Genomic DNA, 14546 nt, shown 5'->3' on the forward strand with positions numbered 1-14546 from the left:
CAACATAATGAGATACTGCCATTGATTTTAAAAATTTGTTCTTAAAAGGAGTAGGTTTATGTGAGAGACTTTGAGGTTGATACTACAACTTGTATAACAAGTCTGATTTCTGGCTTCTCCATTCCATGGTATGATCACAGACCCAGTCCAAAGAATAATACTATATTGTCATAGTTCTTTTATGGAAAACTGATTGTGTACTCTTTTTTCTTTACCTTAATAGTTGACTCTTATATTGAATGACACTGGGATGAAGATTGGGAGTGGCTTTTAGATTGGGTTGTATACTCAGGGAACTTTAGTGGACTGGAAAGAGACCACTGCTCCCCTTTTGGGTTTGCAGCCCTGTCCACCAGAATACTGCCTTATGCAGTGTGTGTGCTATGTCTGCAGATACAACCACTCTACTGTACACAGTTCTATATAGATAATTTTATTTTAATTTACATCCTACTTTGCGTAAGTATTTGGTTCTTCTTTTGCAAATATTTTGAAAGTATGTGATGATGTCTGTTGTGTTTTAAAGGGTCATCAGTTTTTTCTGGGTTATATTGTCTATATAGGCATTGAATATATTAAACTTGACTGCAATGGGTAGAAAAGTTGTCTTAATGAACTAGTTCATTAGCAGCAGTGCATTTTATTTTCTTTTAATAGAAATGAGAACTGCCATCATAAACTGTTAGCTTCTGTATACTTCATTTTTTGTAGTAGACTTAAAAAGAGAATAAAAAGAAACTCCTAGGGGTCAGTCTCATTGAAGGTAGCCGTTATGAATGTGTATTTTATATACATACTGTGTACTGAAAAATTTATTTTGAAGTTTCTTTTGGCTATGTGAGAGGAGGTCATAGAGTATTCCATTCTGATTGGATTCTGAATGAAAGATTTTAATTCGATGGGTACAGTCTTCATGGTTTTCTTGCCTTGATAGTGTGTTTAAATACTAATATGTTTGGTAGAAATACTGATTTGGGAATAGGGTGTGTATTAAGAATATGTGTGGCAAACATTTTTTCTTTATGTATATTGTGGTCCGTAGGAAATGGTGGAAATAGGGCCATGATGAGCAGGACATTGATTTTAAACTAACCTGCAAACATTTGTGTAGCCAATAGGAAGCTGTTTGAAAGTTCCTGAGCAGTAGAATGAAGTGGCAGATCTGGTATTTAGAAAAGGAACTGGCAGCAGGATGGGCTGTAGAATGAAAGGGGTGTGAAACAGATAGGGAGCTGTTGCCATACTATGGGACTAAAATGAACTAGGGCCTGAACTCACTTATGAGGATGAATGGGCAAAGGAGTGGATTTAAGAATTAAAATTTATTTTCATATCTGCTGCAAATAGAATTTTTTCATCCTTAAGTGTGAGACAGCCCATCAGCCTCTTTAAGATAACTTTATTTACTTTTCATTAAACAATTTGCAAACCCAGTAACAAGTAGAATAGTACACATGAACCCTTAGGTGCTTATCATACAGCTTCAACACTTAACAGTGTTTTGACATTCTTGAGGTAACAGCCTTTTATGTACTTCAATATGAATAAAGTTTTTTTAAAAAGCAAAATAAAAGAAATTTAATAGGTATAAAAATAAAGCCACTCAATTGGGTACAAAAACAATTGTGTAATTATTTAATTAGAGTGAATGGCAAGAGAGAAGTGACTAGTGGGAATAGATAACATGTATGTATGAGAAAACGTTGACTACAACGTTTTCTTAAAATATTTTTTATTCATTTGTGCACATATGCATAGATTTTCCCCCCGGCCCCCCCCCCCCCCCCCGCCCCCGGCTGTGAATGTATGAGCTTTGTCACCAGTTTTCTGAAATTTTACAGTTATGTGTCTTGGTCTGTTTTCATCCATTGTACCAAGCATTCTCGATTTGGAAGCACATATCCTTCACTTATGGAACACTTTCTTCTTTTACTTTTTTCTCTGCTTTCTTTTCTATTCTAGATAATATTGGATATCTTCGAATGGTCTTCTAATTTTTTTTATTGTTTTTCTCTTTTTCATCTTTTCCATTATCTGGGAGAATTTTTTATTCTTATAATGTTATTGTACTTAGTTTTCATTTCTGTTGTTAATTTCCAAGAAAATTTTTCTTTATTATTTAGTTGTAGCATCTTATTATTCATGCCTACAGTAATGCAATATCTTTTTCCCTCCTCTCTCAAAGGATATTAATGATAGGCTGTTTTGTTTCTGTTAGATTTTTCTTTTCCTGCATAGTCTGTTTTCAACTTGATTATTTAAGTTAGTTATTTTTATCTTCTGACTTAGACTTTTCTGAAATGTTTGTTGATTGTTGGCCATTCACTCATGTAACGGTGGGCTGCTAAAATTGATTGGAAGCTCTGTACATCTGAATAGAACTTGCTTGACTGCAGGCTTCACTGGAGGGCTGTTTTTTCACATTCCCTGATGTCAGTATTTTTAGGTGTTTTTCTTTTTGTGGTAATCAGATTTTTTCAGATAAGGTATTCCAGTATTCTATCTAGAGGGTATATACTTGGCTGATGCAAATGTTCTGGTAGCTGGAGCTTTTAATTTCTGAATTTTTGAGGGTCCTGACATGATAATCATTGTCTTTGCTTTCTCATCGCTGACTTAGGATTCAGTTTTCTTTGGTCTGCTCAGTCAGTTACTATTTTTTAATCTAATTTCAAAGTTCTAAATTTTGTTGCTTTCTCAGTTTTTTTCTTATAGGTTGAAACAAAATTGTGATAATTTATTTATGGTTGTCTGTTTTTCCTTTTTTTGACTTTAACATGTAATGTTTTCATAAGTTCTTAAATTTTTTTATAAATATAATTTAAAATAGCTACATAGTTTATTATTTGGATGCACCTTAGTTTACTTAACAAGGGTTTTTTTTTAAGATATTGTTTGTAAAGTTAAACTTTTACAAATGAAGCTGTGATAGGCAGCCAAAGGAAATTTCAAAAATATTTTTCAAACTTTTAGTACAGTGGTAGCATAATTTGGGTGAGTATTTAGCTTCTCAAGGTTGTAGACTTAAGTTTTGTTTGGATTTGTCAGATCTGACATAAATTTGTTTTTAGAAAATTAGTCATAATGTCTTATGGTCATTTCTTAAGATATTAGGTCATGTGAAATAATCTCATTATGTTACTGGTTAGACAAATTTTGAGTGTGTAATCTTGAGTGTAACATCTGAAGACAAACAAATGGATAATCAAGTTGACTAGAAAGGTTGCTAGAATAGTGAGGATTTTCAGAATTGTTTAATAGAATGAGGATATTATGAAGAAATTAAGGAAAAAAGAAAAGCTGGGAAACACGGGCAATTTTTGTGTGTTTAAAAATCTATGCCATTTTCCTAATATCTTCTCTGACCCCACCTCTCTCTTTCTCTTTTAATGTCTCTCCCACGTCTCTTTCCCCAATCCTTCCCGGTTCCTCCTTCCCGGTTTTTAATTGAGCATTGACTGTGCCAGGAAGTACCTTAGGCTTTGGGGGGAAGGGGAGGTCACCATAATAGACATGGAGCCTATAGTCTAGGCATTTATTGTGCTTAATGGGAAAATTTAGGTATTAATTAAATAATCATGCTAAAGATGATATAGTTATAAACTACATGTTCTTTGGAGTTTGAAGAAGTGACATTTAAGTTGATTCCCAAAGACAGTCAAGTAACAAATACTTATTGAGTACTTATTGCATGCCAGGTACTGTTTTAGGATGAGACATAGTAATAAAGTGATGGAATTTTGTGTGTGTGCGTGTGTGTGTGTATGTGTATATCTACGTTAATTTTTCTGATTTCTTATTTATATATCTCAGCATCACAGGGTTGAAAAGCACCTCAACAAATCCTATTAGAATAATGAGCACTCATCTTGTGGATATAGATATCACCCTGAGTAGGCCTTAATTGGCATAACTGTATTTTATGATTTTTTTTTTTTTCTTGAGACAGAATTTCACTCTTGTTGCCCATGCTGGAGTGCAATGGTGTGATCTTGGCTCACTGCAACCTCTACCTCCTGGGTTCAAGTGATTCTCCTGCCTCAGCCGCCCGAGTAGCTGGGATTACAGGTGTATACCACCACATCTGTATGTTTTTTGTATTTTTAGTAGAGACAGGGTTTTGCCATGTTGGCCAGGCTGGTCTCTAACTTCTGACCTCAGGTGATCCACCCGCCTCGGCCTCCTGAAGTGTTGGGATTACAGGCGTGAGCCACTGCACCTGGCCACAACTGTATTTTAGATGTTAACTTTAAGTAGGCCTTTTAAAGGAATTATCTATACAAAGCAATCATGGATGTAACAGAACTTCAAAGGAAATAAAACATTGGCTTTTTATAATTACAATTACATGGTGAGAAAAAGATTCAAAAGCAAATGTTTCTATGTTGAGATAAAATGAACTACAATTAGAATCTTTTTTTTTCCCAAGATGGAGTCTTGCTCTGTCACCCAGGCTAGATAGAGTTCAGTGGCGCGATCTTGGCTCACTGAAACCTCCACCTCCCGGGTTCAAGCAATTCTCTTGCCTCAGCCTCCCGAGTAGCTGGGATTACAGGCGCCTGCCACCACACCTGGCTAATTTTTTTAGTTTTAGTAGAGATGGGGTTTCACCATGTTGTCCAGGCTGGTCTCGAACTCCTGACCTCGTGATCCACCCACCTCGGCCTCCCAAAGCGCTGGGATTACAGGCTTGAGCCACCACGCCCAGCCTACAATTAGAATCTTATGCTTTCTTTTACAACCTCAAATGGACAGTGCTCATAAAATTAAAAAATCATGCTTTCATAAACATTAAAACCTGTCATAAAATTAGTGGCAATTAATAGGCTTTCTTAGTCTCTCTATATAAATAACCAGTGAACCATTTATTTTCTCCCTGTTGTGCAAAGCCAAGTGGTCAATGCAGTTGATTTCAGATTGAGCATTTTTTAACAAAATTATTGAAGCATACACAGACTTAATACTTTTGGAGAATTATGGAGTATGAAAGGAAAATTTTGAACTCTGCAGTTTTTACTGCTAGAGAGTTCTAAGACATTCAAAGTTATTTTTCTTTTTAACCGATGAAAGAATGTTTATGTGCAGAAAAAGATGAGATATTTTTGTTGAAGCAAGTGATTGTGCTTCAGACTGGAATCCTTTTGAATTCATGTTGTTTTCCCTGTAAAGAGAAACCAGGAAGAAGAAAATCCGATGACACTAATACATCATCCCAGATGCTTTCAAAGGATTCCTTTTTGTATGGGAACTTATAAGCAATCACACTATTGCCATAATGAGATTCTTTTGGGTGGTTGAGTAGCTTTCCTTCATTCCTCTTCTGGTAGACTCAGTAAAATTGGCTAGAGAGATCAGTGATCACCAGAGAGTGAGCTGTGTGGCTAGAGCTTGAATCCAAGTGGTCCAAAAACACCGTTTTTATTCTTATCCCCTCTCAGGAGAATGGTACTCATGAATGGAGTGGCATGCATCTTCTCTGAAGGCAGGATGTCTGTGCTGTTTTCTTCTCATGGCTAAATTAGGTAGTCTCTGTCTGTTGATAAAAAGGCTCATAATAAAAATAAAAAATGCAAAAAGGAATTGTTGAAATCTCATTTCTCTGCCACACATAAGTGATAACCTCTCAGTGTAAACCAAACAATCTGTAAATAGTCTGGAATATCTGTGTGACAAATGACAAACCTCAGAGTACTGCCAGCTGTGTTTTCCAGGAGGGTTACTGATCGCAGATTGGAATTTGGCATATATTGTAAAGTTGACATATTGGGTGTTCATATGTATTAGATAATTTCTATGGTTCTTTTTTTCCTTGAGCAGCTCAGTAGATGATGGTGCCATTTATTTATATGGGGAAGACTTGTAGAGGATCAGATTAGGGGAAATTAGTAGTTTTGTTTTGGCCATGGTAACTTTGAGATGTCTGTTAGACATGAAAGAAGTTACATAGAAATTACTGGTGGTCAGGGGAGCAATTCGGACAATAGTGTCAACTCTGAATATTCCTTGACATCCCCAGGCAGAACAATGCGTTTCTTTTTGTGTTATTATAACATCTTTTATCCTTTAGATTTTTTTCATAATATTTATTATATTGCTCTGATTGTTGGTGTGTTTGTTTTTTCCTAAGGTCCAGGATCCTGTTGTGTTTCTATCAGCTTCTGGTACATAATAGATATTCAATAAATGATGTTTACATTCTCTCACCAGATCCTGTCAGTTTTACCTGTCAGGTATCTGTCAAGTCCATTTCTTTCTGTTCCCATTGCCTTAGTGCCGATTCTCATCATCTCATTAGAATCAGGGCATTTAAAAATTTTTTTAAGTGGTAGAACTCATTTTCAAATAAACTAAATGTAAGATCCTCATTATATGAGAGTATCAATTAGAGATTGGGTTGGACACTATTAATAAGAGAGCTATCTGACTATAATGGCTCAAGTGTAAAAGAGTTTCTTTTCTTCACATAATGATTAGTTGGGAGGTAGATGATTTTGGAATTGAATTGGTGGTTCAAATATATCAGTCAAAATGTCTTGAGATTCTCTTGGCCTTTGCCTCATGGGAAAGGAGAGTGATGCTGAATTTAAATGGAGCAGGGAATTTAAATAGAATTTAAGTAGAACATAAAATATGGTGTGATATTATTTAAGTGTAAGGAAACTTGAATTTGTTTAAATTGAATAGTTTGATGATAATTTTAAGATAAAAAGGTGAGTATAAAAGCAGAAGAGCATAAAGAAGTCATTTCAACAGACTAGAGGAATGTGACTGGGCTACAATCAAAGGATCTAATAAGAGCAGAAAGGTTAGGCAAATCTTGGAGAAATTATGGAGTAAGTAGATAGATGGTTTTAAAATTAATATTAAGAGGGAGAAGGCTGGGCCTGGTGGCTCACACCTGTAATTCCAGCACTTTGGGAGGCTGAGGTGGGCAGATCACTTGGGACGGGAGTTTGAGACCAGCCTGGGCAACATGGTGAAATCCTGTCTTTACTAAAAATACAAAACTTAGCCAGGCATGGTGGTGCACACCTGTAATCCCAGCTACTCGGGGGGCTGTGAGGCAAGAGAATCACTTTAACCCAGGAGGTGGAGGCTTCAGTGAGCCGTGATTGCACGACTGTACTCCAGCCTGGGTGACAGAGTGAGAAGAGGTATTAAGACAGATGATTAACTTCAAGCTTTTAAGCCTACTGAACTGTCAGGATGATGGTACTTTTAATGGTGATGGGAAAATGGGAGAAATTGTATGGATGTACAGTAGCAGATTATTCACATTTGTGTTACAGGAAATCACAGTCTGAATAGAAAATGGTCAGAATGGCTAAAATGGTCACCTATTGTTTTCTTAGAATAAGGGTGGTGAACACAGAACGGGAAAATTCTTCAAGGTCTTTCTTGAATTCGAAACATGAAGTCATAACCAAGTATCTGGGACCTATTTGTAGTGATCTGCAGGAATTTATGAAAGTGCCAAAGAATTAACAGTTTATTCGGCTTCTAAGTGTTATTAATGTGAACTTTTTGATAGTTGGAACATTTTGATCCCATACTCTCTTTGGTGCCTTTCACCTAATACTGTTCTAAAATAGGCTAATTTTAATAAATATTCAGCAAAGGAACATTCTTAGTGTTTAACTTCAAATTAAATGTTGTAAACTTATTTTAACATCTAAAGTCCATTATGTTTGAGTGTTCTGTTAAATTCAACAAGCTAATAACCTTTTTTTTTTAAGGTACAGCAGGGAAGAACTGGAAACTCAGAGAAAGAAACTGCCCTTCCATCTACAAAAGCTGAGTTTACTTCTCCTCCTTCTTTGTTCAAGACTGGGCTTCCACCGAGCAGGTTAGTTACATAGTTATAACTCAATTACTGTACGACATTGGTATCTTTACATTGTATTTGTGCTATATTAAGTATAAAAGCTCTGAATGTTTTACCAAAAAACTGGAACATTTTACTTTGGTTTAGTACAAAATGAATTCTTCACAAGAAACTTCTTGATGTTTTTCCATCTAAAAAGCCTAGGGTAAGCAAGAAGTGAAGTGCGGTATATAGTTTTGTGTATGAATAAAGAGACAATCTTATATTCAAGAGAGGTGAATAAAGAGACAGTCTTACATTCAAGAGAGGTGGTAACAGTAGTATTTGCTGTTTCCTGTGCTCCCTATTCTTACATAAAGAATTATTGGACTTCTAAGTCTAGATCTATTGGCCTGAAGGTCTTTTGCTAATTGTAGTGAAAGAGGCTATTGAAATTTCAGCTTGGAAAATCTTTAAAATTGGAACCATTTGTTGTTGTTGTTTGATTTTATATGATAATACCTCATATGTTCCCGAAGGTATCAGATGTAAGAGGCAAATATGCTAGAAAATGTCTTTTTTACTTAAATGTGACAAATGGTTACCCTATTATGCCATTACCAGGAAACTGGTAAAGGATAGTAGGCTAAGACTAGCGAAGTTTGAGGTCAGTAGTTTAATCTTGGACTAGATAAGATGACTAAAGTCTGGGCCTGAAACAAATTAATAACCCAACTATTACTAGTTCTCGGCCAGATCACTTACCTTTTGTGTTACTGGTTTAAATTTATTTTATATAGTTTTCTGTTTTTGTTATTCTACAGTTTTGTATTGTTATAAGAGACATTTTAGAATAATCTAATGCAGGAAGAGACTTTATAGTGGCATCTAGTCTAGCTCTAAGATAACGATTCTTGAAGCCTTCAGCCAAAATTAAATGGCATAAAGTGATCCAGGATTTTTGTGAATTGTCATAGACATAATGAAATGTGATTATTTAAGCTAAATATAATCTCAAAATGTTTGGTTTTAAAGAATTTATGACAGCTAAGCTTTAAATATGTAGTAATATATAATATTGTAATATGTAGTATTCTTTTGGCTTATACATTTTTTAAGAGGTTAACTTTCATTCATTGAGTTTATGGTATTCTGCAGTATAGAGTGATGGTAACAGCTTGGACTCTGGAGTCAGATTTCTGGAGTTCAGATGCTGGCTCTGCGGCTTACTAGCTGTGCTGTCGTTGGGCAAATTCTCTAATCTTATGCCTTGATTTCTTAATCTGTAAAATGTAGTAATAGTACTTCCCTCACAGTGTAGTTATCTATATTCAGTGGATTCATTTATGTAAAGTGTTTTAGAACAGTGCTGGTACCTAGAAAATACTCTAGATGTTTGCTATTATACTTAAACTATTTAAAAATCAATAGTTTTTCTGTACTTTGCCTTTTGTTTTTTTATTGTTGATTGGCCTTTCAAAATTTGGGCCAGATTATGTAAGGGCTGTGTGCCATTATAAAGGCTTTGGCTTTTCCTATAAATTAAATAAATGGGGACTCACTGGCGGATTTTGAGCAGAGCAATGAAATAATCTGATTTAGGTTTGTAAAGTTTCGATTTAGTCGCTTTACTAAAAACAGACTACAGAGTTACTTAGGGTGGGTGAAAACAGGGAGGCCAGTTAGGAGGTTGCAGCAATTATCTAGGCAAGAGATAATGGTAACTTGGACCAAGATAATGGTGTGGAGATGTTGAGAAGTAGTCAGATACCAGTTATATTTCAGAAGGTAAGCCAATAGCCTATCTTGATGGATTGGATGTAGATTGTAGAGGAAAAAGCAGTTAAGGATGAATCCAAGGTTTTTGTTCTGATCAACTGAACCAGAATGATGGTTTTGTCATTTACAGAGATGGAAAAGACCATAAGGAGGAGTGGTTATTGGAGGAAGAAGACCAAGAGTTCAGTGTAGAATATAATAAAAATGAGATGCCTATTGGACGTGCAAGTGGGAAATTTGAGTAGGAAGTTGGCTATATGGATCTGGAGTAGAAGGGAAGAGTATGGGCTGGAGATAATGAATTTAGGATAATCAGTGTTTAATATTACTTAAATGAAACTACAAAATGGAATTAGACCATAAAAGAGGTAAGTATTGATAGAGAAGTGGTAAGAGACAGCCTTGGGGCACTCCCTTGTATGTCAGGAAAATAAGGATTAACTAGTAAGAGGAGACCATTAATAAGGAGGAATGATGAATGAAGTAGGAAAAAAACCCACTGTATGTCTTGAAAATGATGTGTTTCAAGGAGAAATGTCAGCTATCAAATACTAAATCCAATTGATTGGTCAAGAAAATGAAGACTAAGAATGACCATTGGATTTTATTGATGGTCATTGGTGATCCTGACCAGGATCATTTTCATTTGTATAAAATGAAGATAAAAGACTTTGGAATGGATTAAAGAAAGAGTGGGAGGAAAAGAATTAGAAAGAGAAAATATGGGCACTTTTTGGAAGACTATTTTCTTTCTGTGGGGGCCAGAGAAATGTGACAGTATCTGGAGGGAAATGTGGGGTCAGGAGAAGTTTTTTTTCAAAACAAAGAAAAAAACAGCATTTTGGCTGGGCACTGTAGCTCATGCCTGTAATCTGAGCACTTTGGGAGGCTGAGATGGGCAGATCTGTTGAGGGCAGGAGTTTGAGACCAGCCTTGCCAACATGGCAAAACCCCATCTCAACTAAAAATACAAAAATTAGCTGGGCATTGCGAAGCAAACCTGTAGTTCAAGCTACTCGGGAGGCTGAGGCGGGAGAGTCACTTGAACCCAGGAGGTAGAGGTTGCAGTGAGCCAAGATCACACCACTGCACTCCAGCCTTGGCGACAGAGTGAGACACTGTCTAAAAAATAATAATAATTACAGCATTTTGTATATTTATGGGAATGAGTTATTAAAGGAGAAATTGGTGGTGTAAGACAGGGAAGTTGTAGAGGAATGTCGTTTAATAAAGCCAAAGGGATGAGATGTAATATGAAGTAGAGAAGTTGCCCTTAAGTAGAAGCATGGACCGTTCATTCATAAGAACAGTAACGAAGGCAGGATACAGGGCACCAGTGCAGATGGGTAGGTGGATAATGGAATGGGAATAATTGAAAGTTCTCTTCTGATTGCTTTCATTTTTCCCGGCAAAATAATATGCACACTTATCTGGTGAGAGTGAGGCTGTTGGAAATAAGAGGCCATTGGAAGGTAGCATTGAGTGTTTGAGAAGAAAAGAGGTCTGAAATAGTTTTTTGGAGTTCTGTGAATAAACTAGGTGAAAGGAGTAGCTGGGCAGCTGGAGTGAAGTGTGGGGTCAAGAGAAACCTTTTTTTTCAAGATGAGAGGAATTACAGTATTTTTATATGCTGATGGGAATGAGTTAAAGTAAAAAATTGATGACACAGGGAGAGAAACTGTACAGTACTACTTTCTTATCTAGGTTTTGCTTTCCTTGGTTTCAATTACCTGTAGTATGTTACAATAAGGTATTTTGAGAGAGACCACATTCATACAACTTTTATTATATTAGATTGTTTTTAGATTGGTGTAAAAGTAATTGCGGTTTTGGACTGTGAAATTTAAATCATAACTAGGCTCAAACACATCTTTATTAATCAAAATAGAAACCATTACAATCACATTTTTTGCCAATGAGAAATAAGTTTCTTTATTCCTGTAGTGTAAAAATCCGTGCTTCGGATTTGACAAACTCTTGGAAAGCATTTTCTGTATCCTGCTGATTGTGGAAGTGTTTTCCCTGCAAAAAGTTCTTAAGATGCTTGAAAAAGTGGTAGTTGGGAGGCAGGAGATCAGATGAATATGGCGGATGAGGCAAAACTTTGTTGTCCAATTCATTCAACTTTTGAAGCATTGGTTGTGCAACATGCGGTTGGGCATTGTTGTGGAGGAGTATTGGGCTCGTTCTGTTGCCCAATGCCGGCTGCAGGCATTGCAGTTTTTGGTGCATCTCATCGATTTGCTGAGCATACTTCTTAGATGAAGTGGTTGTGCTGGTATTCAGAAAGCCGTAGTGGATTAGACCAGCAGCAGACCACCAAACAGTGACCATGATCTTTTTCTGGTGCAAGTTTGGCTTTGGGAAGTGCTTTGGAGCTGCTTCTCTCTCCAGCCACTGAGCTGGTCATCTCCAGTCATCGTATAAAATGCACTTTTTTTTTTTTATTATACTTTAAGTTTTAGGGTACATGTGCACAATGTGCAGTTTAGTTACATATGTATACATGTGCCATGCTGGTGTGCTGCACCCACTAACTCGTCATTTAGAATTAGGTATATCTCCTAATGCTATCCCTCCCCCCTCCCCCCACCCCACAACAGTCCCCAGAGTGTGATGTTCCCCTTCCTGTGTCCATGTGTTCTCATTGTTCAATTCCCACCTATGAGTGAGAATATGCGGTGTTTGGTTTTTTGTTCTTGTGATAGTTTACTGAGAATGATGATTTCCAGTTTCATCCATGTCCCTGCAAAGGACATGAACTCATCATTTTTTTATGGCTGCATAGTATTCCATGGTGTATATGTGCCACATTTTCTTAATCCAGTCTGTCATTGTTGGACATTTGGGTTGGTTCCAAGTCTTTGCTATTGTGAATAATGCTGCAATAGACATACGTGTGCATGTGTCTTTATAGCAGCATGATTTAGAGTCCTTTGCGTATATACCCAGTAATGGGATGGCTGGGTCAAATGGTATTTCTAGTTATAGATCCCTGAGGAATCGCCACACTGACTTCCACAATGGTTGAACTACTTTACAGTCCCACCAACAGTGTAAAAGTGTTCCTATTTCTCCACATCCTCTCCAGCACGTGTTGTTTCCTGACTTTTTAATGATCGCCATTCTAACTGGTGTGAGATGCTATCTCATTGTGGTTTTGATTTGCATTTCTCTGATGGCCAGTGATGGTGAGCATTTTTTCATGTGTTTTTTGGCTGCATAAATGTCTTCTTTTGAGAAGTGTCTGTTCATGTCCTTCACCCACTTTTTGATGGGGTTGTTTTTTTCTTGTAAATTTGTTTGAGTTCATTGTAGATTCTGGATATTAGCCCTTTGTCAGATGAGTAGGTTGCGAAAATTTTCTCCCATTTTGTAGGTTGCCTGTTCACTCTGATGGTAGTTTCTTTTGCTGTGCAGAAGCTCTTTAGTTTAATGAGATCCCATTTGTCAGTTTTGGCTTTTGTTGCCATTGCTTTTGGTGTTTTAGACATGAAGTCCTTGCCCATGCCTGTGTCCTGAATGGTAATGCCTAGGTTTTCTTCTAGGGTTTTTATGGTTTTAGGTCTAACATTTAAGTCTTTAATCCATCTTGAATTAATTTTTGTATAAGGTGTAAGGAAGGGATCCAGTTTCAGCTCTCTACATATGGCTAGCCAGTTTTCCCAGCACCATTTATTAAATAGGGAATCCTTTCCCCATTGCTTGTTTTTCTCAGGTTTGTCAAAGATCAGATAGTTGTAGACATGCGGCATTATTTCTGAGGGCTCTGTTCTGTTCCAATGGTCTATATCTCTGTTTTGGTACCAGTACCATGCTGTTTTGGTTACTGTAGCCTTGTAGTATAGTTTGAAGTCAGGTAGCTTGATGCCTCCAGTTTGTTCTTTTGGCTTAGGATTGCCTTGGCGATGCGGGCTCTTTTTTGGTTCCATATGAACTTTAAAGTAGTTTTTTCCAATTCTGTGAAGAAAGTCATTGGTAGCTTGATGGGGATGGCATTGAATCTATAAATTACCTTGGGCAGTATGGCCATTTTCACGATATTGATTCTTCCTACCCATGAGCATGGAATGTTCTTCCATTTGTTTGTGTCCTCTTTTATTTCCTTGAGCAGTGGTTTGTAGTTCTCCTTGAAGAGGTCCTTCACATCCCTTGTAAGTTGGATTCCTAGGTATTTTATTCTCTTTGTAGCAATTGTGAATGGGAGTTCACTCATGATTTGGCTCTCTGTTTGTCTGTTATTGGTGTATAAGAATGCTTGTGATTTTTGCACATTGATTTTGTATCCTGAGACTTTGCTGAAGTTGCTTATCAACTTAAGGAGATTTTGGGCTGAGACAATGGGGTGTTCTAGATATACAATCACGTCATCTGCAAACAGGGACAATTTGACTTCCTCTTTTCCTAATTGAATACCCTTTATTTCCTTCTCCTGCCTAATTGCCCTGGCCAGAACTTCCAACACTATGTTGAATAGGAGTGGTGAGAGAGGGCATCCCTGTCTTGTGCCAGTTTTCAAAGGGAATGCTTCCAGTTTTTGCCCATTCAGTTTGATATTGGCTGTGGGTTTGTTATAGATAGCTCTTATTATTTTGAGATACGTCCTATTTACATACCTAATTTATTGAGAGTTTTTAGCATGAAGGGTTGTTGAATTTTGTCAAAGGCCTTTTCTGCATCTATTGAGATAATCGTGGTTTTTGTCTTTGGTTCTGTTTATATGCTGAATTACATTTATTGATTTTCGTATATTGAACCAGCCTTGCATCCCAGGGATGAAGCCCACTTGATCATGGTGGATAAGCTTTTTGATGTGCTGCTGGATTTGTTTTGCCAGTATGTTACTGAGGATTTTTGCGTCAATGTTCATCAGGGATATTGGTCTAAAATTCTCTTTTTTGGTTGTTTCTCTACCCGGCTTTGGTATCAGGATGATGCTGGCCTCACAAAATGAGTTAGGGAG

The 14546-nt window shown here is 36.8% G+C and overlaps 1 protein-coding gene across 60 annotated transcripts in view; it reads left to right on the plus strand.

Moving 5' to 3' along the window:
* The window catches only part of FIP1L1 (factor interacting with PAPOLA and CPSF1), an 83222-nt gene that overhangs the window by 14353 nt on the left and 54323 nt on the right, over window positions 1–14546 (plus strand). For 49 of the 60 annotated variants that reach the window (NR_164849.1, NR_164847.1, NM_001376744.1 and 46 more), the window contains one exon: window positions 7737–7846. Coding sequence is in view for 57 of the 60 variants with exons in the window: in NM_001376744.1 (NP_001363673.1) it covers window positions 7737–7846 (110 nt within the window). In the remaining 3 variants the exon portion in view is untranslated. Of the gene's footprint in view, window positions 1–3949; window positions 4069–7736; window positions 7847–14546 lie in introns of all 60 variants that reach the window. The other 11 variants (NM_001376746.1, NM_001376761.1, NM_001376751.1 and 8 more) reach the window with 2 other exon arrangements.

This window comes from Homo sapiens, chromosome 4, assembly GCF_000001405.40.
Source record: "Homo sapiens chromosome 4, GRCh38.p14 Primary Assembly".
Lineage (NCBI taxonomy): Eukaryota > Metazoa > Chordata > Mammalia > Primates > Hominidae > Homo > Homo sapiens.